General features: G+C 38.9%; 1 pseudogene, besides 2 other annotated features; it reads left to right on the top strand.

The window, feature by feature from the left end:
- Positions 2,265–2,550, top strand: RN7SKP190 (RN7SK pseudogene 190; annotated as a pseudogene).
- Positions 12,616–12,760: an enhancer, noted in NCBI's record as "145 bp 16:82215972 sequence used in MPRA reporter constructs". NCBI's record gives its function as "activates a minimal TATA-containing promoter with rs2911405 allelic activity by MPRAs in C283T melanocytes {active_cell/tissue: C283T}" and the evidence as "EXISTENCE:reporter gene assay evidence [ECO:0000049][PMID:36423637]".
- Position 12,688: a transcriptional cis regulatory region, noted in NCBI's record as "rs2911405 or 16:82215972 MPRA-significant variant associated with a GWAS melanoma risk locus at 16q23.3". NCBI's record gives its function as "allelic transcriptional activity by MPRAs in C283T melanocytes {active_cell/tissue: C283T}" and the evidence as "EXISTENCE:reporter gene assay evidence [ECO:0000049][PMID:36423637]".

Here is a 24,620-nt window from a genome sequence, read left to right as displayed (position 1 = left end):
GGTGTGTGCCTGTATTCGCAGCTGGTGTGTGCCTGTAGTCCCAGCTACTCGAGAAGCTGAGGCAGGAGAATGGCTTGAACCCAGGAGGCAGAGGTTGCAGTGAGCTGAGATTGTGCCACTGCACTCCAGCCTGGGCGACAGAGGAAAACTCAGTCTCAAACAAACAAACAACACCAAAAACAAACAAACAAACAAAGAAGGCCAGGAATGTGACGATGGCTGTTACACCAAAGGCAATTCACTACGAAAACGTAAGTACACAGGCACTCCATACAGCAACCAATTAAATTCTATCAAATGTCCCACCAACAGCTATCATATGGTCCAAAGGTCGATAAGCTGAGGATTCCCTAAGTGATTCAAATTTACCTTGTAATACAGATATGAAACAAAATTTTAGGATTCCCATGAGGTTTTATAGATTTGTTTGGCCTTATGTGGGACAAAGGTAAGTTTTTCCTTAAGCACTCGAACTAAGCCAGAACGCTTGAAAATGGGTATGTTGCTTATTTGGGTTCTCTGATTAAGAAGACAATTCTTTCATCTATGCCTTCCAGAGCCCCCCAGACAAGCTCAGATCTATTTATGGCTTCTATTAGTTAGAGCAAGAATATTGTAAAGTCTCTGTTCTGTTTCAAACCAGACTTGGCTGAGAGCCTTTGTAAAATGCATCCATTCACTTTGCTCCCGCCATGAGTACATTAAATGCAATTTCATATTTCTTTGATGATTTATGCTCTTTGAGAGCCTCACATCATCATTTACATCAATGCTCACTGTTTGGGCCTAAATACACAGAGATAGAATATACAAACAATTGGATTAAGTGTGTCCTAACCATAAGACAAACTGTGGCTGACCAGGAAGACCTCTGAAATATACATATGAAAGATGATAGGAATACATTAAAAAATGATGATGGTGGTGGTGATTAGCACTTACTATGTGCCAGACACTCTTCTAAGCCCTTTATGTACATTCAATCATTTACTTTTAAATTTTTTTTTTTTTTTTTTTTTTTTGGAGTCAGAGTCTCCTTTTGTCATCCGGGCTAGAGTGCAGTGGCACGATCTCGGCTCACTGCAACCTCTGCCTCCCGGGTTCAAATGATTCTTATGTCTCAGCCTCCTGACTAGCTGGGACTACAGGCGCACGGCACCAAACTTGGCTAATTTTTGTATTTTTACTACAGACCGCATTTCGCCATGTTGGCCAGGCTGGCCTTGAGCTACTGACCTCAGGTGATCCACCTGCCTCAGCCTCCCAGAGTGCTGGGATTACAGGTGTGAGCAATCGTGCCTGGCCTCAAGTCCTTAAGTATTATTACCTCCATTTTATAGATAAGGCCAACTCAGGTTCATGGAAGTGAACTAACTTGCCCATGCTATAGGAAGTGAACCGCCAGGATTTGACCATGGATGGTGTGGTTATAGAGCCTTCATGTAAAGCCACAAACTGAAGCAAGGGAAAATATGTATTGAACTGAATCAACAAGATGGGAGAATTCATCCCTCAGTAAGTTGAAGTGAAATATGCTTAAGCCTTCATCCGCAAACTCAGAAACATACGCATGCACACACACACAAACACACATCCCTCTTATCAGCTACAATCAAAGTAAAAAGATAAACCTAAAAATCACAGACTCACTGCTTGGGGCAGAAGATATAACATTAACAAATAACAAAGAGAAAGTCATATATCTCCACTCCTGTTGTATTTCCACCTTCTTTATCAGGGACAATGATCTTTAAACCCAGGAGAGTTGAATAAATGTAGTTTAGAAGGAACTGAAGTATGAGATAGGTAAGGTGATAGCAGGAGACCATCTTGTTGTTTTAAATGAGTTTTTGTCTCCAGGCCTAAACAAATTACGTCCTGGAGTATGAAGAGCCTTTGCAGATGAAATCTAAGAGTCACTGTCAGTAATCTTTACAGGGTCGTAGAGAGTTGAAAAGGTGCTGGGGCAAGGTATTAGAGACATGTACTAGAGACGTGTAGAGCTAGGAAATTAGTATTCTAATTTTTCAAAATGAGGTGGAGGAAAGTGTATTCTGTGACCTACAGATCTGCACGCTTGATTTTGAAACAGGGTATGACTAGATGGTGTGTCAGCCCTTAAAAAGGAAGTGGTGATCACGAGGAACCAGGATGTATTCACTAAAGAAAAGTAACAGATTCTACATGCCTTCCTGTGTGTGTAGCTTTAAGGACTGGTGACAGTGAGGATGTCATGTGTACAGTAAGTGGTGGGAGAGCAACCTTGATGGGGCTCCCATCACCCCAAGGGCCACAAGGGTTGATTCATTCGATCTGGCTGGGTGATGGGTCCCCTCCTTTACTTTATGTTCCATGAAGTTGCACACTTGCTCAAGGAGAAACACCAGAGAGAGAAAGGCCGTCACATGGGCAAGGGAATACAAACCCTGTGCCTCCCCAGAATCCCCAGACAAGCTCAGATCCATCTGTGGTTTAGACTAGTTAGGGTAAGCATATTTACAAAGCCTCTTACTATTCTTGGAGATCTGATGGATAAGACAGTGCTTTTAAGAGAACAAATACCTGGTTGACCATTCATACCAAAAAAGCTTACATTTATGAATCAATGTCCTTCTGATTAGAACACTTTTCCTTCAGAGAGTTGCGCAGCTCATGGCCCCCCTCCATTAGGAGTCTACCTCAGTTTCACCTCCTTAAAGAGATCTTTAACCGTATGATATAAGATAGCATTTGCCCTCTAAATACACTGAATACCTTGTTTTCTTTTTCTGTATGGTTCATGTCATTATCTGACATCATATTATATATTCTAGCTCTTCTCACTATCTGACATTGTATTATATACAATATTATATATATTATGTATATATGTACATATACACATAATTTGTCTCTCTCCTGCTCTTGCAGAACCAACAAATTCTGTGTGAATTATGTCCCTGTGTTATTCAGTAGCCCTGGCCTTTTGAATGTGAACTCCATGAGGCCAGGGACTTTGCTGTCTTTTTTACCACTGAGTTCCTAGTCACTAGAAGAGTACTAAAACATAGATGTGCTCAATAAATATTTTTTGCTCAATAACATTTGTCAATTTGTGAATGTCAACCTGGAGAATGGTCTCTAGTGGCTACAGTGTTCTGTCCTTGGCCTTATCCAAAATATTAACTCTGACAGAAAAGAAGAAAGATAACAAGAAAATTGATTCTGATTCCCAGTCAAGAAAACATTTATCTTTATTATTGTTATTACTATCATCACCATTACCTACCATGTGATAGGCACTGTATTCTGCTCTAACACTATTGGAGATGCTCACAACAAAACTAAGAGGTAGAAATTATCATCTTCACTTTGAGATGAGCAAAACTGGGTTCAGGGAGTTTAAATAAGTGGCTAACATCAGACAGCAGTTACGTGATGAAGCTGGGATTAAAATTCGAGATCTGTCTCACTAAAAATTGTGTCCTTTTTTTTACAAGATGATGATAACACTTATAAAAACATGAGAAACCTACCTTAATTTGCAGCTGACTGGAAAAACTAGTACATCAGATGAAAAAAAATCAAGATTTTATGAGAGTCTGAGATTTGAATGGCAGGCCAGAATTCAAAAATATATATATATTAGGTATGAAGATGAAGTTCCATATACCAATTCTAAGCATCATATGCACGGATTGGGGGGAAGGGGGGAGAAGGGGGTGACGATAGTCATTTATTTGAAATAGACCAAGAGGCATCAATTGACCACAAGATTAGTCTAAACCAATAGTAATATGTGGCTGTAAAATGAACTAAAACAATCTTAAACTGCATTATCATGAATTTTTTTAAGGGAAGAGGGTTCCAGTTTTATTCTACAAAAGCTAGACCAGGAAAATGAAAGTTAAAATAGTGTTAAGACCCCTGGAATGGTGAAAATCTCATTATGAATGACATGATTAAAGGGCTTGGTAAACCTTGGCCTGGGAGAGAGAAGACTCAGAGATATGAAGATATCTATCTTCATATCTGAAGAACTGTCAAAAAAAATAAGAAAACATTCTCTGTTGTTCCTGATGAGTGAGACTATAGGAAAGAGGTTTGATTAAAAATACAAAGCTTACTAATAATTAGATGCCTTCCCCGGTATAAGTGAGTTTCCAATCTATTAGGGGAGATATTCAAGCAGAGGCTGTGTCACAATCTGGGCTGGAAACTCTAGTATCTACCCAAAGGGGTAGAAGATTAGGTTGATTTTAGGGGTTTGTTTTTTCAGTTCTATCTCCTACATGTGGTGACCTTAGTTTCTGAACCCCAAACCAAGACCTATGATCCTATAAAAGACTTTTTGTGTTGCTTCCAGATTTGAAAGACAGTCTAGCAGGTACAACCACCAAAATATCGTCGTTTCTAGGAGTTATCAGTGATGAAATAATGGGGAAAATATATGAAATTGGAACTTTCCAGGAAAGAGGAAGAAGTGAAATCACACTACAGCAGGCATTTACTTCTCTTTGAATACTCATGTTTCAACCAAGAAGGCAGAAACTCTGGGTAAAATTTCCTTTTTTTTTTTTTTCTTGCACAGCAAGTTTTCTGGAACTAATACTTCTTCCTCCAAAGGCTGAGTGCCAAAATATAATTACAAATATAATTATAATCTAGCTCATTCACATTAAGAAAGTCAAGAAGTCATTGGAAAAGCTTCTTGGAGCATCATCAAGATTTCCAGGCCCTACCACAGGAGCCATGCTAGCCCTTCCTTCATGACTTTGCTTCCACCTTTGTGCACACAGCAGATGTTCTAGTCTGCAGCTCATCAAGAGGCCAAACTATCCTTGTTCCTCCACCCTGGACCAGAGTGACTCCCCACCAACTCCCTATTTTGGGTTCTTGTACTAAGAGGTGAGGGGCCAAAGACTCCCCCTTGGCCAAATCTGGACTCTACTTCACCAGTAAGGAACTATTCAGACTGATTAAGATATTGTAATTCTGGATATCATGCATTGGGCTGGTATCAGCTGTTCCCTATTAGACTTAGACACAATGTTCTTTTCAATAGACTACTTTGTTTCACACTGACAGTCATTTTTCACCCCGCAGAATTTCAAAGCCAAGAATCCTGTATTACAATGTAAACAAACAAAATTAGACTCAAAATTGCCTTTTCTGATTTTGATATATTAATCAACTCTTCAGGAAAGCTTCTAAACATTTTCAATTACATCAAAACAGGCTGGCAACATTTTCCAACTTTAAAAAAAAATCAGGCTTAGTTAAAGGTTTGTTTTCTATTCCATTGATACTCTATACTACATATTTGCAACTGTTTCTGTTTTAGTACACATTGATTAATAGCATTAGTCCTCAAATCCCAGCATGTTCACACACACGCAAAAAAGTATTTCCATCTGTAATCTTCATTAAGGCAAGAGAAATCTATCAATTTTGGCATGCTTGCTGCTTCTTTCAGCTGCAGTCTTGAGTCCTTGCAAATGTCTGAGACTATGAGCCTCACAGCTGCCATTAAATGCTAATTGTAGGGCAGGTGTGCACTCTAGAAATGGAGGCCAAAAAGAATGGAGCAAAAGAGCCAAAGAGAAAGAGAAGTCTTGACACCTGAAAGATGCAGCTCCCTCTGTGCTTTACACCTTACTTGACTGGGCAGGAAAACTGGCATTTGAACTAACAATGAAAATATGCTAAACAACCAAACAAGAAGCAGGTATGATCCACAAGGGATGTAAAAAAAGAAAGGGTATACTGGACAATTATGTGCTTAATAGATTAGATGACGACAGCAGCTAAAGCGCTTAAATTACATCTATTGTTACCTTCTTTAAGAAGTGGAAATCATAGGAATAATGCTACCAAGACAACTGAAATATTTTCACATCCTTCCCTAAATGTATTCCTTAAGAAAAAAGTTTACGACTGCTCCTGCTGCTACTTGCTGAAGTTTTTCGTAACCTTTAAAGAACTGTCTCATCTACAAGTTAAAACTGGCTAGTTATCAGGATTTACTGAATCCCTGCAGTTTGCAATATGCGTTCTGTGCAAGAATACAAAAAGAATTAGAATACAAATCTGCCTCCTCAAAAGGGGTTACAATCTGTAGTAGAAACTGGATTTGGAAAAATGCTTGCAAAACATGTAAAAATACTCAAGTGTGAAAAATAACATGATCTATTATATAATTAAATGGGGTTGTGTGTGCCACTACATTGGGAATTTCACCTCCTTTATTAAAATGAAATGCAGAATTTTCAGCACTTGAAGGAGCTTCTCCAAGAGGATACAGGGGCTGGCCATTTCAGCACAGCTCCACTCTGTGGAATTTCTCTGTCTCTCTCTCTACCCCACCCCCAATGCCCTCAGACACACACACACACACACACACACACACACACACCCCACTTTCCTTGGCAGTCCTTAACATAAATGAGATAGACAAAAATTTTCAAAATTATTTTATTATTTCACTTTGTGCAAGATGCGTAAAAGCAGTCAAGCTTATACAGTCCAGCACAATAGCTACATAAACCCCCTGACCCCCAAGATTCTTATACAATAAGAATATCCCCATCCTTATTCCCCCAAAAGAGTTAGTGATTTAAGACTAATCTGAGACTGCTGGCATTAGTGCTAGTTCTACGATATTACAAAATTAGGAATCTATCTCTCATCTTCAGCAGAAAGTGTTCTTTAATTCTTAATATCATGATAAGGAAGAAATTTCAGAATGTCAAAAGATAGAGACTCATAAAAGGACCTCACATGTTTCTTATTTCCTGTCAAATGCAATGCAAAACAATATCTCAGTATTATTCTACTGCTTCCAGTATTTTTGCCTAAAGATGGGAATTTCTAATCATGTAAACCTGGTATTGCTCAGTTAGGGAGTGAAATGGAGTTTGGAAAAAAGTTTCACCCCTACCGGTAAGTTTCTATGAGGACTGAGTTGGAAGGGGGTTTCCCAGCATGTAAAACCAAGACTCCTGAGAAAGTTTTACATTTCTATCAGCAGAAATTGAAAACCCACAGTGACATTGACACCCAGTCACACCTTTGTTCTGCCTTATATTGGACAGGAAGGAGTGAGTTTCTCACCAATCTCTCTCCAGACATACCTACTAAAAAGTGCTAGCAGGCAGAGGTATTCTAAATAAACAGGCTTTAAGCATAAGCAGATATACATCTTAAGCTTTATTAGATATTTCTTATTTTCTTCATCAGTGTAGATATAAAGCAGGCTGTCTATTAAAAAAAGGCTTAGGAGTTTGGTTCTTTGATTAAGAAAAATAATCATGGTCTGTTAGTCTATTTATTACCAAGAGAAGAAGAATTTGCTATATGGCAATGTTAAGGATTGCGGCCCCACCTGGAGACCTTCCTAAGGGTCTCTCTTAACAGGTCCCATCTGTTCAGTTCACTTCCAATTTGCTTTGCCTAAAGTGCTGACAGAAAGACTGACAGAAATACCTGACTTCACAGTGCCGCCTTTAAATGAAACCCCATTCCCTACATTCATGGTTTGGTCCTTGGTGGGTCAGAAGATAAATCTCTAGATGAAACCACAACATTTAAAGAAGAGTTACTCACATAGTGAATGGGGATACTATTCTGTCAGTAACTGTATTAGTCTTTTCTCAAATCACTATAAAGAAACACCTGAAACTAAATAATTCACAAAGAAAAGAAGTTTCATTGGCTCACAGTTAAGCAGGCTATACCAGAAGCATGGCTGGGGAGGCCTCAGGAAACTTACAATCATGACAAAGATGAAGGGAAAGCAAATACATCTTATATGGTTGGAGCAGAAGGAAGAGAGACAGGAGGGAGGTGCTACACTCTTTTAAATGATCAAATCTCATGATAACTCTCTCACTATCATGAGAACAGCACCAAAGGGGAAATCTGCCCCAACGATCCAATCACCTCCCACCAGGCTCCACTTCCAACTCTGGGAATTATAATTTGACATGAGATTTGGGCAGGGACACAGACCCAAACCATATCAGTAACTATACATGGTACGGACAGGTAAAATAATAGTAGCCAAAATGCAGTGACTTATTCAGGAATGAAAGGAAGGATGATTTTCTAAAGGCGGTAAGACCTCCCTACAGACTTGGTCATTATGTAATTGCACTTATTTTTAAAAGGCTCCCATAAACTGTAACCCTGGTGATTTACATGAATCAATTAACATCTATGTATAGTAATCATTCATCCAGCTGAAAAAATATATTATATATATGTCAAATTATTTCTTTGTTTCATTTAACACAACACCAATCTCAATTCACGTATGTTCACTCTTCTTCTTCTTCTTCTTTTTTTTTTTGGAGACAGAGTCTCGCTCTGTCACCCAGGCTGGAGTGCAGTGGTGCGATCTCGGCTCACTGCAAGCTCTGCCCCCCGGGTTCACACCATTCTCCTGCCTCAGCCTCCCGATTAGCTGGGACTACAGGCGCCTGCCACCACACCTGGCTAATTTTTTGTATTTTTAGTAGACACAGGATTTCACCGTGTTAGCCAGGATAGTCTTGATCTCCTGACCTGGTGATCTGCCCGCCTTGGCCTCCTAAACTGCTGGGATTACAGGCGTGAGCCACCGCACCCAGCCCTGTTCACTCTTCTTAATCCACAGCTGCTATTCCATGATTCTGTACTCATCACCTTTAAAAAAAGAGAAAACTTAATTTTAAGAAATCTAAATTAAGCATTCATGTTAGAAAAACAGTACGTCAGCTCAAAGGAGATGGTTGTGTTAATGTAACAAAAGGTTTACCTCATTCCTTGTGCTCACTGAGGTAACCCTCATTCAAGTTGATACCCTTAAGTGAGCTGTGCTAAAAAATGATTGTATCCAAGGAGCTTAGTAGGGGCAAAGGAAACTGCAACACAAAAGGAATCCTACGAGATTAATTTTATTATTTAATATTTATAAGATTGTACCTAAAATGCTAACTCAAGAATAAAGAAATGTCACCGGTTAACATAAGTTTAAATATTTACAAATATTGAAATAGTGGGAACTGTCAAGTGAAAACACAAGAGACAAGGGCGATGTTATGCCTGATCCTATCAGCATCACCAGCTAATTCTGACAACTATGATCAAAGAACAAAGAAAACCCAGAATTATAATGAAGTGATTTTACATGGTTTTGGTTAGTGTGTTTTCTGTTGGAAATAAAAGAAGACAAACTAGAATTAGCTTAAATAATGACTTTTATGATATCACAAAGCAGGAAGTCCAGAGCTAGAGTGGCTCCATGGTGAGTTCACTTGGTAATTCACTGATGTCAAAAGAAACCTTCTTTACAACTTACTACTCTTCCAACCTAAGCATGTTGACTTTCCCTCTGAGACTGGTTTTCTTCAAGATCCTTAAGATGGCTTCTGCAATTCCAGGCATCATATAAGGATGACAATCGTCAGAGGCCGAATCATTTGCTTCTAAGTGTAAATTTTACACAGAAGCACCATACGCCTAAGCCAAAGACTGCCCCTCAATACTTTTTGGACAAAATTATATCACAAAGCCATGTCTAAATCAATCATCGGAAGGGTAATAATTAGAATTAGAATGTCTGATTTAGACTATTCAATATTCACCTCCTCTCAAGGCTGATGGAAACCCTAACTTCCCCTAAAATACATTACTACACAATATTTGAGAAAATTTAGAATTCTACCAGTAACAAATAAGGCTGGTGAGAATGACAATGGGGTAGACAGCCTGAAGTATCAACCACATATACCTAATAGAAATAGATCAGAGCTTAACTCACTATGCTATGGCTCAATTCATAGAGTTGACACAGTTTAACAGGTGGACAGTATCATGTATCTAAGATTAGTCATTGTTGTTATAGCAATATATCTTCATAGAGAGCTGGAAAGACATGAATCTCTCTTTAAAAGGCAGTAAGTGATTATAATTGAAGCACAAATCATTGCTAAATCCATATCATGTACATGGACCCAAAATAGATATTTCCTCTTTTATTGAAAAATCAAGGGTTCCTTTTACTGGAAAGTTGAGTTCCAATGAGTTTCCAGTAACAGTTTCACATTACAGACGTGCATTTGTAATAAGCTTAAATTGGTTAATTGGGCTCAATTTATCTAATGGGCTACTAAAGTGGTCAATTGTTATGCAAATTAGGGAACATGGCTGTATTAAAAAGTAATGTATTGTATAACATTACCTGAATATATTCAGATATACATTGTTACATTTTTCATTTCATTCTAAATTTTCATTTAACATATCACCATCTCCCATATAGAAAAAATGGCTACAACGATACTTGTTAACTGTGTGCTCTTTTCTAAAATATTTAATCAATTCCAATGAGAAATAATACTATTGAAATATTTTACTCCGTTTAAGGGAAGTCGGGAAAGACAATGTGGCGTAACAATAAAGCAATCAACTGAGAGGCAGGAAACAGAATTCTAATTCTGATAGCATTTATAGAGTACTCACTATGTACCAGGCACTTTGCTAAGTGTTTAACCCGTATTCGTTTCTTTAATTCTCCCAATAACTCTGTAAACGAGGTACTATGATTATCCCATTTTCAGACTGAAGCACAAAACTGGGGCACAGGGTCACTTGCGCAGGCTTACACAGTTAGTAAGTGGCAGAGGCAAGATTCAAACCCAGACCACATGACTTCAGAGCCAAAGCACGTAATTGTGGTGCAATACCACCTCTCTAGTTCTGGAATTGGCACTAGCTGCTTAAATTGGTGGGAGGTGGGGGTGGTTACAGTTTTCTAATGAATTAAGAATTTGAGATATTGGAGAACATTTCCAGCCCTAACACTAAAAATGTCATGAAAGCCATGACCTTACAGACAATCTCCTCTGCCATATGGTTTATATTAAGATTACATTTATGAGCCAGGCACGGTGGCTCACGCCTGTAATCCCAGCACTTTGGGAGGCTGAGGCGGGCGGATCACCTGAGGTCGGGAGTGCGAGACCAGCATGACCAACATGGAGAAACCTCGTCTCTACTAAAAATACAAAATTAGCCAGGCGTGGTGACACATACCTGTAATCCCAGCTACTAGGGAGGCTGAGGCAGGAGAATCGCTTGAACCTGGGAGGCGGAGGTTGTGGTGAGCCGAGATCATGCCATTGCACTCCAGCTTGGGCATCAAGACTGAAACTCCGTCTCAAAAAAAAAAAAAAAAAAAAAAGATTACATTTATGACACAACTGAACACCCACCTCTGGACTTTCTAAGTAACAACAACTGCAAGGTAATTCATCAGAAGGAAGAACGAAAAAGCCAACCATGACATATAAGTCACAGAAAAAATACATCCCCTTGGAGGGAAAATGTTAGTTTATGAGACCTAAATTCATAAGGTATCCCAGACACTGGCGGGAGACCCACCTAGAAGATAGGCTACAGAACTGAATTTCCTACACTATGGCTCCTGAATTAACCAAATATTTTTTAAAGCACACCATAATGTTTCATGACAATAAACAGTGGACAATTCTTTCCACTCAGAGCAAAAATTCTTTCATCTCTCTGAGCCTCCTAAAGAGTCAGAATTAAGGTATTTTGAAAAATCTCACCAAACATAATTATGAGTATTCATAGGATTTCTCAAAATATCCTCTTTGGCTATACCCAAACTGAGGCATAGAGATCTATACATTTGCAGAAGAATTAATATTAAATTTTTTTCTCCAAACACTGTGAACTAACTACTCACTAGAAGGGCCTACCATTCAGCTTATCTGAAGAGTGAAATTTGTAATCTAAATGACTAAAGTATCTAATCTTATGTTAAGGATACAAGCAGAATTGTGCAATATCTTCCTGCAGTCTGTGAAGTTCATCCTTGATGTACTTTCTCACTATGTGTCAAGAGCGTCATTGAGTGGTCTAAGTTCTGGAAAGTGTCCTGGTCAGAGGTGTTTTCTCAACCCAGTCCCTATGGCCCCTGGTGGAATGGCTATGGCACAGAAGTGCAAAAGATAGAAACATTTTATTCTGAAACAATCACTGGAATATAAAACTCAGCCAACTTTCTGTTAACGATCAATTTTCTTTGGGGTATAGACAGTTCCCTTTTGGGTGTACAGTAATATCTCAATTATCTCCAATAGATAAGGGAAATAATAGTGTGACTATGCAAATAACTCATGTCTCATAATATGTGTTTGTGTGTACGTGGACATATCGTTTTGTGGATTTTGTTTTGCAATCCCATTCTTCTTATATTACATAATAAAGTTAATTTGTTATTCCTGAACAAAAGATGACCAAAAGGTTCCAAAGCATTGTGGACGCTAAGGTCAAGTTGTGAAAAATAAATTTGCTACAGTATGCAAGGGCTAATCCATAACAACTTGCTTAAAAAGATAGTAACAGCTTGTTTACAACTATAATGTGAAATGTATTCCAAATAAAAGTGCTGTGCACTTCTATTCCCATATACTTGCTATGTCTTTGTCCTAGGTTTATGGAATAGATAAATTAAAAGGAACTTTATGACATTTTCCACTGACAAAAAACTTTAGGCAGCTGAGGCACAATACAAAAAGCCATTGATGACAAGAACCACCTGCTTGTCATGTAAATGTTTCCTAAATCACAAAAGGCATGAAGTTCCTTTTGTGTTGTTTCTCCCTTTCATCTTTCAGGCCAATCAGATACTATGGACAAGGGATAAAATGGGAGGAATTACTACTCTGTCTTGTCTGAGCCATTGAGTTCATAATAAAATAAGGATAATATGGCAATTCAGCAACAAAAGAGGCAAACAAGTATGAATTGAAATAACAAAATTCATTTGGTAATATTGAGACTTCAGAACCCAGGGAAGCAGAATGATCAATGAAGTGAGTGGAGCAATGGCCAGGGAGTCCCACCAGCTCAGGACCAAGCCTGGGTCAGACTCTTCCAAACCTCTGGCAAGTAATTTCTCTGCTCTAGATCATGTTTCTTTTATTTCCTTTTCTTTTCTTTTTTCGTTTTAGATACAGGGTCTTATTCTGTCACCCCAGGATGTAGTGCAGTGACTCAATCATAGCTCACTGCAGCCTCAAATTCCTGGGCTCAAATAATCCTCCCATTTCAACCTCCAAGCAGCTGGGACTACTGGCATGCACCACCACACCTGCTATTTTTTTATTATTATTTTTTATTTTTTTATTGTAGTGATGAGTTCTCACTGTGTTAACCGGGCTGGTCTTGAATTCCTGGCCTCAAGCAATCCTCCTATCTTAGCCTTCCAAGCCAAGCACTGGGATTTCAGTAGATCATGTTTCTTAATCTGTGAAATGGGAATAATAACAATACCTACTTCAAAGGGTTGTGGTGACAAATAAATCACCAGCTTGAAAGCACTTATCCCAGTGCCTGGCACATGGCCAGCAAGCTATACATGCCAGCTGCTACTCCTATTAACCCAAGAGTAAGATCATCCAACTGAGGGACAATATTTGGATAGCACACCCTGCCCTGAGAATGTCTCTCATTTCACATTTTAACAAAATATATGCAAGTTCTTCCTTTCATGAATTCTCCTTTGAAAATTTAATTCGGAAAGTAATATACATTTTCAGCCAGGCAGTGGCCCATGCCTGTAATCCCGGAGGATGAGCTCGGCGGATCACTGGAGGCCAGGAGTTCGAGACCAGCCTGGCCAAAGTGGCGAAACCCCATCTCTACTAAAAATACAAAAAATTAGTCAGGTGTGATGGTGCAGGCCTATAATCCCAGCTACTCACAGGCTGAAGCACAAGAATTGCTTGAACCCAGGAGGCAGAGGTTGCAGTGAGTGAAATACTTCCATAGCTTCTATGGTTTCACTATTGCATTTGAGTTTTTATAGCAGTGAGCCGAGATTGCATCACTGCACTCTAGCCTGGGCAACAGAGTGAGATTCTGTCTCAAAAAAAACAAGTAATATATCTCAAAAAAAAAAAAAAAATATATATATATATATTTAGAAAAAGATTTTGTTAATGCAGGTTTTAAAGTGAGAGTCTCTTCCCTACTCACAATATCAATTGTAATCATTACTTTAAATACCACAGTTCTTGATTTGCGATATATGCTTCCAACCTTTTACAAATTTAAACAAATATAGATATCATTTTTATAATTTTTTTTTTTTGAGACAGAGTCTCACTCTGTCGCCCAGGCTGGAGTGCAGTGGCCCGATCTCCACTCACTGCAAGTTCTGCCTCCCAGATTCACATCATTCTCCTGCCTCAGCCACCAGAGTAGCTGGGACTACAGGCGCCCGCCACCACGCCCAGCTAATTTTCTGTATTTTTAGTAGAGACAGGGTTTCACTGTGTTAGCCAGGATGGTCTCGATCTCCTGACCTCATGATCCACCCGCCTCGGCCTCCCAAAGTGCTGGGATTACAGGCGTGAGCCACCGTGCCCAGCCTCATTTTTATAATTTTTAAAATAGAAATAAACCATGTTATAGAATTTATTGCTACTTCCTCTTTCACTTAACGTATCCTGCATATCTTTCATAATATGTTAGTAGGTATAGATTTCTGCTGTTGACATAATCTAATATTAAATTTTAAATGATAAGGAGATAAATGATAAGATAAATGATGAAAACAGAAGGATCATTAAAAAGTGTTCTTTCATTGTTGCTTAGCTTTTAAGTGTGATGATGGCATTGGGATTATGTTTTGTTTTAAGTCCTTACCTTTTAGAGATATCTACTGGAATATTTACAGATAAATTACACAATGCCTAGGATTAGCTTCAAACTGAAAGAGGGATGGAAAGAGGAAAACTTGGAAACATAAATAAAACAAGATTGGCCATAAATTGATAATTAAGCTGGCTGATGACCATGTAGGGATTAAAGTATTCTCTTCTTTGTACTTTTGAATATTTTTGAAATTTTCCATAGCAAAAAGATTTAACAGTTTCCCTCCTTAAAACTGATCTACTAAATGCCAAATAGCCATATCTTTAAACCACAGCAATTAATTCCTCCTGACTGGTTAGATAATAATTTAATCTACAAGACTAATCATTCCTAACACACATCCCCTAAGCAGCACAAACCAAATGCAACTCAGCTTTCTTATAGTTTGAATGATGCTATAAAAATTCAAATGCAATAGCGAAACCATAGAAGCTGGTTATTGTATTTCACCAATGTTAAGGGAGCTATTTATCAACAAATGCAAATTATAAACTATTATAATTATTTTTTTAGAGTTAATGAAGTATTTTCCTTTTCCTCTTACACTGGAATTATTGCAGCTAGATGAAAAAACAAAAACAGTTGTTTAGTCTAGGTACAGTCAAGAAATCAAGAAGATCACATGGAGTGTTCTGTTCATCCAGCTAGGAGGACACATACAACCTGGAGTGTGTTCACCAAAATTTTGCCATGCTGAAGCCAAGAGAAGTTATTTGTTATGCCACTGGAGCAGAATAATGTTTTGAGTTTCATGTTTTACTCTATGCACACCTCAACACTTCCAGGAAGGTGGCCAGGCACTTTGTACGTCTTATCTCTGGGGCAGGAGAGGAGGTTTATAGGACATAGAGGGGAACTGCCTGAATCCTATAGCTCCTCTTGGCTTTTGTAAAAGTCTACACTGAAGAGGTATGTCCCTGATGCCCAGAGGCAGACAGGAGAGACAGTACTTTCTAGGGCAGCAAAAGGGAAGAATAAGTTTTTTCAATAATGGGTAGAGGTCAGAGTTCAGAAGATCCAGTGAGACAAAGAATCTTACAAGGCAAACAGTGTCTGTATTGTGCACGCAGTAATGTTGGATGCTAGACTTCCAGTCCTCTCGAAGATTTGTGACACCGAACGTGGACTGGAAGCAAGGGAGAAGCAGAATCTAAAAAGATTAAGATGAATGGAAAATGGATATCTCTGCATTATCAGTGAGATAAGGACATAATTCATGATCAATGACAAGGAGATCTTCACCTATGATTTGGCATCATTTAAGACCCTGAACCCTTGGACTATGCTTGGGGCAGGACATCACTAATAAATATTTAAATTTAATTTCTGCCAGCCCATAAGTATAATTAGATGTTAGATTTAACTTTAAGTGGATTTAAAGAAAATAAAAATGTCCAATAGTACAGATCTTAGTTTGTGGTAGTTAATTCATACAGGCTACTCCATTAAAAATCCACCATGCCAATAAAAGAGACTATAGAAGCAATCTACCTCCATTCTGTAATAACCATCCTTTACATCTTCACAGCTTTGTATTTGTAAGGTGTTTTCACACACGTTGTCTCATCTGATCCTCACAGTGTTCAGAGGGTTCAGCGGCTCTTGAGCAGTTGAGAGTAGATGGGCAGGAGTGAAATGGCTCAATGGAAGACAGGACTTTCTCAACTGGTCACTAGTCATTTCTTTTGCTCACTCGCTCTCTCACTCTCATGCTTGCTAGAAACAAGAGGAACCATTTATTCAACACTTCATTTAAAAACATCTGTGCAAACCTGTCACTTGTAAGATGGATTTTATGGAACCTATTGTCAAGGATGAATTCACTTCCTCAGGGGTGGCAATTTAGGCTGCCATCCAATGGTGGTAGTTAAGTCTTGGCCAAATGTTACTCAGCAGAGAAATATTAATATAACAAAACAATTGTTTGTAGGTATATTTAAGAAGGAAAAACAATTATAGCACTTTGCAGTGCCTTCTTACTATAAGAAACAGATACTTTTCTTAAAACAATTCAACAGAAAAAAAAGTTCACTTAAAGAGCATTCTTTTAGTGCAAATTTTTGAAGCCAGAAGATTTAATGGAAGTTGCCCCTAAGGAATGGGAGTTGGGGAAATGAAGTAGGTGAGACTTTCATTTTTCTAATTTGTACATTTCTTTATACATATATACACACACACACATATATATCATAGTTTGGAAACTAATCTTTTTTAATCAAATGAATCTAATATCTAATTGGATTCTTTTCCACTTTATCACATCATTGCTAACAAAATATCTACAAACGTAAGAATTCCTTAATAACTTACAGGGCTTTAAAAAGAGAACTTTGATTCCTAATTATTCACTTTTGTCACGAAAACCCCTGCCCTGGTTTGTCCATGCTCTTTAGGCCAGCAATTTCTAACTATGGTAAGAACACCAGTGGGATAAAGGAGTCTTCAACATCAGCATCAGGATTAAGAATTCACTTTCCATCAACCTACGCCATCTGGTGAGTATGCAAGGTTTAATGCACCTGCCTTTGATTTTTCAGGCATATTCTCAGCATACAAGTCGTAATCCAGGAGAACAGTTTTTTGTTTCTATTTTAAAGTTGTAACAGGAAAAAAATTCTCCGAAAGACAAAATGCATTTTTAAGTCTGCAAAACTTACTACAGGCTTTCATGGCTAGAAATCCTAGAACCAAGATTCAAATTCAAGTCTTTCTATTTCTAAAGATTATGTTCTTTCCACTCCACCGTACAACTTCCCCTAGAGATCATTTTCATAAATTTAGTTTTCTTTAAAACAGTAAATTGGATTTGCAGAGTTTTTTTCAGCCCCTGCTGCTGTGTGAAACAGAGAAAATGTCTCATTGTTAGGGTCAGCAGTGCCTGGGTACCACCGGAATGTGCCGGGATGATTTGTGTCCAGGTATATGTGATGGTATCCTTCTCCAAAAGCTGTGAGCACCTGCATGGCTTGAATTCGGCTTATGTGGAGCTCTCCAGTAGCCACAGAACAAACAAGCCTTCCCAGCACAACTAATAAAAGAAGAATTTAAAAAAAAACTTACTATAAATAATAAATAAAATAACAAAACTTAAAGACATGTAACTGTCCTTATAAGAAAAATATTGGCTTTCTGTTTTTTAATGGTGGGAGGCATATTCTTAGAGTAGTAGAGGGATATAGGAAGGTGAGAGCAAGAGCCCTTGACTCAGTCCACAGGCCCAGCAGCCTTCTTTTCAGCTGGCAACGGCTTCTATAACCTGCTCTCTCCTTTTCTAGGAGTAAGGATCCGTTGTAGGTAAAGAGAAGACTGTTTGGCCTCTCCAGTCCTCTGATTTAAGACCTTTCTTTTGTTCCTTCTCATTAGTAAATACGACAATTACTCCCTTTCCTTGGGAAAGTAACAACCCTATGTCAGCTATGGCCAGGTTTCCAGTTATAACATATTCCCCTAACACTTCATTTCCATGTGCTTCCTCTTTCTGAGAACCTCCTCCATCCCTCCCAAATGTCTTCCAGGTTTAGACCTTTTGGCTTCATTTGCATGAATTGATTATGTTTTTTAAATTGTTTCTCTTCATAATCCCCATAGCAACTGGCTTCTTTAGAAATTTCCTCACAGGCCAAAGATATCATACCTTTTAACTGAAAATAACATTTTAAATAGAATTAGTACAGGAAAATAAGCTGTTTTTTTACCTCATCCTTGACTTTTCATTTCTTTAATTTTCTTTGGTAAAATTAAAAATTTTTTAAAAAACCTGTCAACTCAGCTGGATGGAATTTGTTGGGTATTGTGGGGCCTGTAAGTTATTAAAGGATGTATATAATTTTTTAAATGCTGTCTCACCCATTTTACAGAGCAGGCGGTTTTTCACTTATTCATTCAATAAGTGTTTTTTTAGTATCTTAAGAACTGTGTTTAAAGCTGTGAAACATTTAAGGTGAGTATAAAACCCAGAATTGTCCTCCTGCACCTGAAATCGTTTTAGTTAACAATGAAACGTAGTGTGTAATTAAACACTGAAACTATAACACAGCCCTATCATCATTTTCAGTTGATGTAAGAAGAAGGTGAAATTTGAATTGGGCCTTGAGGAGTAGGATTTGAAAAGTTGAAAGAACACCAAAAACATTATTCCAGGCATCATTCCAGAAGAGAAGGCAGTATGAAATTTATATGAAGGATAAATATGGAATGTTTGGAGGGACAGTAAGTAGATCAACTTGGCTAGAGGAGAGTACGTTGAGACATATAAGACAGATGAAAAGCTAGAAGATAAGGCTAGAAGGCAGGTGTAGAAAGTCTTACCCATCAAGTCTCGACCTGGGTTTGGATTTTATCTCAAAGGTGATAGGATGAACTAGATAAAATGGAAGATTAATCTACAGGAAATTACGAAGTGTAATCTAAAATAATCTTTAAAATGGCTTGAGGGTCAGGCTTTCTCCTTGTCTTCTGCTTTGTTCTTCCTTCCTCCATTTCCCTTCTCCACTTTAGCCAGTGATCTTAAGAATCACACAATTCTATTGTGCAATGTTTAAACGGTGTCACTCTACTGCTTAAAACAGTTCAATAGCCTTGCAGAAACTTTCAGATAAAATCCTACCAATTTAATACATGGCCTTTAAGATCTGGCCGTAACTTGCCTCCCCAGACTTGTCACCTATACAACAAGCATCACTTTAACCCTTTTCTATTGGACTTCACTCCTCCATGCCCCTTTCCATTTTTTTGTCTCACAAACGTGTAACTCATCTTGAGGTTTCGGCTTAGCTGTCACTTTCCCAAGGATGGATCTCAGAGCGCTTTAAATCCAGATTATGCTGCCTTCCACATCTTCCATCTCTATGACAGTACTTAGGATCCATATCGTTGTCTTGGGCATACCCATGGCGGGGGTGGTTTCCCTAGTACCTAACAAAGCACCAGAAACATAAGAGATGCCTTAAAATTTTTGGTAAATAAAAGAATAAAAAATGAAGAAGGCAGAACAAAAAATAGGAGCCTATGGCAATCAGACAGTCATAACATAGTAAGATTTAGGCATAAATTCTGGGATAGGCTTGCAGCAACAGAAAAGAAGGGATGGATGGAGGCACAGTAAAAAAAAAAAAGCTAGGTGGAATGCTAACAAACCTCAATTCTGACTGAGCTGACATAATTTGGTATACATAATTAAAAGGTCCAGCTAACTCTATATAGTTTCCAAATACTGGCTGATCATCAGAATCATCCAGAGAATCAGCAATGTTTTTGGTTTTGATGTGTTTTAATTTTTCATGATCTTTCTCATAACAACTTACTGATGTTTAGGAATTACCTAGATGTCATATAAGGCCATTTCCAGTACTAATGTTCTGATTTAACCAAGACATCCACGAAAAGGTAATAAGTAACCGAAGGTAAGAGCAGAAGGAATGCCTTATACTACTACATTGTTAGGCTGGTTAACCTGGAGTAACAATTTGCATGTAACAGGTAGCCAAAAAAAAAAAATACTTGATGAATAAATCAGGGAAGCAGAAAGAGGGAGCACATTTTGCGAGATGGATTTGATGTTGGACATGAGTTCGGAACTCACACTCAACCATTTGTCTGTCCTTCCAGCTGTCTCAACAGAACTCTCATCCTGCTTTAAGTGGATATGTCCTTGGCATTGCTGTTGTGGCTAGTATAGTGACTATCTCTGAGGAACAGCACCCAATTTCTCTTTAAAGAATTACCCTCCCCCATTGTGTATAGTCTTCTTGAAATTGTAAATCAGGTCCTGCCCTCCCTTAGCTGAGACATAACAAAACTCTCTCCTTGATTTTGAAAACTTGAGTAAAGTGTCCAAAGAGCAGAGAAATCAATTGGTGCTCACCATTCTTGCTGTGTCATTAAGTTCCTTGGAATGCCCTGGTTTCTGTTCTTTTAACTTAGCCTTGTTATCAAGCCTTCTCAACACCTATGAACTACCCAGTATCCTTCTAAATCACCATTTTGTTTAACAAGTCTTTTCAATATCTGGTACCTACAAACAGACAAATGAACAAAAACTAATACTTAATATACCACCTTCATTGTCTCATTGCATAAAAGAGTTCCTTCCTGTGCTCACCCCAGATTCTCCTCCAGTTTCTGCACTAGGAAGGTATGCATAGCCATTGCAGTATTTAAAAAAAAAAAAGAAAAGAAAAAAATGCAAGCCACACATGTAATTTTATATTTTCTAGCAGCCACATTTTAAAAAGTAAACAGAAACAGATGAAATTAGTTTTAAGGCTATATTTTATTTAAACAAATATATCTTTATTATTAATATATAATATGAAAAAATATTGAGATTTTTTTTAGAGTAAGTCTTTTGAAGTGTGGTATGTCTTTTACACTTACAGCACATCTCAATGCAGATGCTAAATTTTGAAAAGTTAAAGTGATATATGTTCCTTCCAAAACAATATAGCCTCATATACAGAAAAATAACTCACACTGTTACTTTTAACATTTAAATTGCTGGGCATGGTGGCTCAAGCCTATAATCCCAGCATGTTGGGAGCCCAAGGCAGGCAGATTGCTTGAGGCCAGGAGTTCGAGACCAGCCTGGTCAACATGGTGAAACTCCATCTCTGCCAAAAATTCAAAAATTAGCTGGGTGTGGTGGTGGGCACCTGTTATCCCAGCTACTCAGGAGGCTGAAGCATGAGAATTGCTTGAACCCAGGAGGCGAGGTTGCAGTGAGCCAAGATTGCACCACGACACTCCAGCCTGGGTGATAGAGCAAGACTCTGTCTCAAAATAATAATAATAATAATAATATAATAAAATTTAATTTAAATTAACTAAAATATTCAGTTCCTCAGTTGCACTAGCCCCATTTCAAGTGCTCACTAGTCACATATGACAAGCATCTATGCACTAGGCACCACAGCCTTAGATCTGCTATGGGAGTGAAGAGTCACAGGGAACCTTTTCTTGATGGATATAGTAGTTGGCAGGAATTGGAGGCTTTCATACTTCCAACAAATTCCATTATGACAGGACTCAAAACTGTGTGAAGACCTATTTGAAACATTTCTTCCCTCAAAATGATGTTTCTTTGGCTGGGTAACTACAACAGGTTAACACATTATTGATTGTGAGATCTATCCTCTGTGCTCTGCAATTCAGGTGCATAGAAAGATCAAGGAATTATCTTGTCAGGTAGTTTTCAAAGTTAAAATTACACTATTACTCTTAAATCACTTCTCATTTATAACATGTTGAGGGGTGGGAAAAGACTTGGGGGATTCATTTTAATTATAAGGATTTTCACCATCAAATAGAAAAATAGAATTTTGAGTGGCAGGTTGAAGAAGGTGAGCTTTATCTCTCAGACAATAACAGATATTGTAAATTTTAGAGTGAAAGAATAACATAATAATGTCAATGTTTCAGAAAAACAAATCAGAACACAGACTGGTACAACAGGGGTCCATAGAGAAGGTGTGGCGCTTCCAGCATCCTTACATGATAGATATATGCTCTTATTTCGCCGGGAATGCTGTTTTCCTCTTCTGAAGCTGACAAGACATGTGTTCATCCTAGTTCAGTCGCCCCTTAGTTTCCCAAGTGCAGAAGGCAGACTGAGTCACTTCTCCCTTCACCTCTACTCTCACAGCAGTTCTTTGAGAATCCCACAGAAAAACCAAACTTATAGAGACAGAAAGTAGTCGTGAGGACCTGAGGAATTAGTGTTTAATGGGAACAAGAGTTTTCATTTTGCAAGATGAAGAGTCCTATGGTGGTAAAAGCAGCATAACAATGTGAATGATTGGTGGGCCTTTTCCCTGATTAACTCCTCTCTACGTTTAGGAGAGTCCTCATTTCCAGGCCAGAATGGTTTAGGTACCCTCGTTGTACCCTTTCATGACCCTCAAACTTTCCTTACCGGGCTCTCATCACAACTGTCATCTACAGCTAATTGTATGGTATATTAGTCTGCTACGGTTACTATAAGAAAACACTACACACTGGGTGCCCTATACAGACTGGTTGTGATTTTCTCACAGTGCTGGAGGCTAGAGGTCTAAGATCAAGGTGTTGGCAGGTTTGGTTTCTCCTGAGAGATTTTTTAAATTTTTTTTATTTTTTTGGCTTTCAGATAGTCTTTCCTTTATGCAAACACAACCTTGGTGTCTGTGTCCAAATTTCCTCTTCTTATGACGACATCAGTCAGACTGGATTAGGGCTCACCCTAAGGGTCTTGTTTTAATCACCTCTTTAAAAAGGACTGTCTCCAAATACATTCACATTCTGAGGCACTGGGAGTTGGAACTTCAACATATGAATTTTGGGGGATGCAATGTGGCTTATGATTAACCTCTACTGTTTCCACTTGTAAAACTTTTAACACGGACTTTGTCTTGTTCATATCTGAGGACCTTTACAGTTGATGCTGTCTTCTGAGCACACTCTACCTCCAACTCTTCATAAAACACGTTTTTCTCAACTTTCAAGCCTTAGCACCATCATCTGACAAGGGCCGTTCCAAACCACCTGGTCTAAAGTAACCCTAAGCGTTACTCTGTCACATCACTGTTTTCTCTCTTTCATAGCAGTCGCCACTTACTTACGTCCAGAATATCAGCTTCAGGAAAGGTGGGGATATGTGTTTTTACACGCTATTATACCCCCGGCATCTCACACACAGTCACAAGTGAATGAGATTCTGTAGCCACTTGGTACATTACAATGATTTTATTTACCCCTGGGAAAACCTAAAGGGCTTTTAACATCCAAATCGGTGTTTGAATTTCAGCTCTAACATGGATTAGCTGTGTGAACACCAAGTGCGTTACCCACTCTGTGTCTCAGAATCCTTAACAACACGATGACAATACCTTCTTTCCGGTTCTTATGGGGATTAAGTGAACTAATTAGCCCTAAGGTGACCAGGTCAACAATCTGACGTAGAACTCATGGTATCAGCCGAGATGCTATTAGCTTGAGGGTGTTCCAAAGCGTCGGACCTGGGAATGGTTTTCGAAAACGTGTTTAGGTGGTACCCAGAGCATTAAACACCAGGGTAGGAACGCTACCCTATTTTCAGTGGTTTTTTAAATTCTTTTTTGTTTTGTTGTTTTGTTTTTGAGACAAAGCCTCACTCTGTAGCCCAGACTGGAGTCCAGTGGCGGGATGTCAGCTCACTGCAGCCTCGACGTCCCGGGTTCCAGTGATTCTCCAGCCTCAGCCTCCCAAGTAGTGGAGACCACAGATCCGTGCCACCACACCCAGCTATTTTTGTTGTATCTTTTGTACATTTTTTGTATATTTTGTATATATTTTTTGTATGTATATTTTGTATATTTTTTGTGTATATATATATATATATATATATATATTTTTTTTTTTTTTTTTTTTTTTTTTTTTTTTGTAGAGGTGGGGTCTCCCTATGTTGCCCCTCGCTATGGTCTTTTCAATTCTTTGGATCAAAACCAGGCTTTGTTCTCATTCATGTGTCTTTGGCACCCATCCCTGCCTCCATCCCTTGCCATTTCTTGAGATTCTTCTGTTTAGCAGAGATCACTCGGCCAGACACGCATCGGCAGCAGCCTGGGAATGAAGCCAGCCTGCCTGGGGCGGCCCCCGCCGCGCTCCCCCGGGACTCCGGGCTGCTGTGAGGAAAGCAGCAACTCGTGGGGTCCTGGTGAAGAGAAAACGACCTGGACCCTGCAAAGCGACCCAGAACAAAGGGAGCCCGCCACCCACGTTATGAAGACAAAACACGTGGGTAACACGGCCCAGGCGGGTGGCAGGCGTGGCGGAAACCTCTCTGAGGCTGGCGAGGACTACTGAGTGTGGAGGGGGTCCCTGAGGAAGGGAGTCCCCGAGGGAGGATGGGCCTCCGAGGGGGCCAGGCCGACGTCCCGGGAAGGCGACCCGCGGCTCGG

This window comes from Homo sapiens, chromosome 16 (assembly GCF_000001405.40).
Source record: "Homo sapiens chromosome 16, GRCh38.p14 Primary Assembly".
Lineage (NCBI taxonomy): Eukaryota > Metazoa > Chordata > Mammalia > Primates > Hominidae > Homo > Homo sapiens.
The sequence above is the reverse complement of the archived record's forward strand: the minus strand, read 5'-3'. Positions and strand labels throughout refer to the sequence as shown.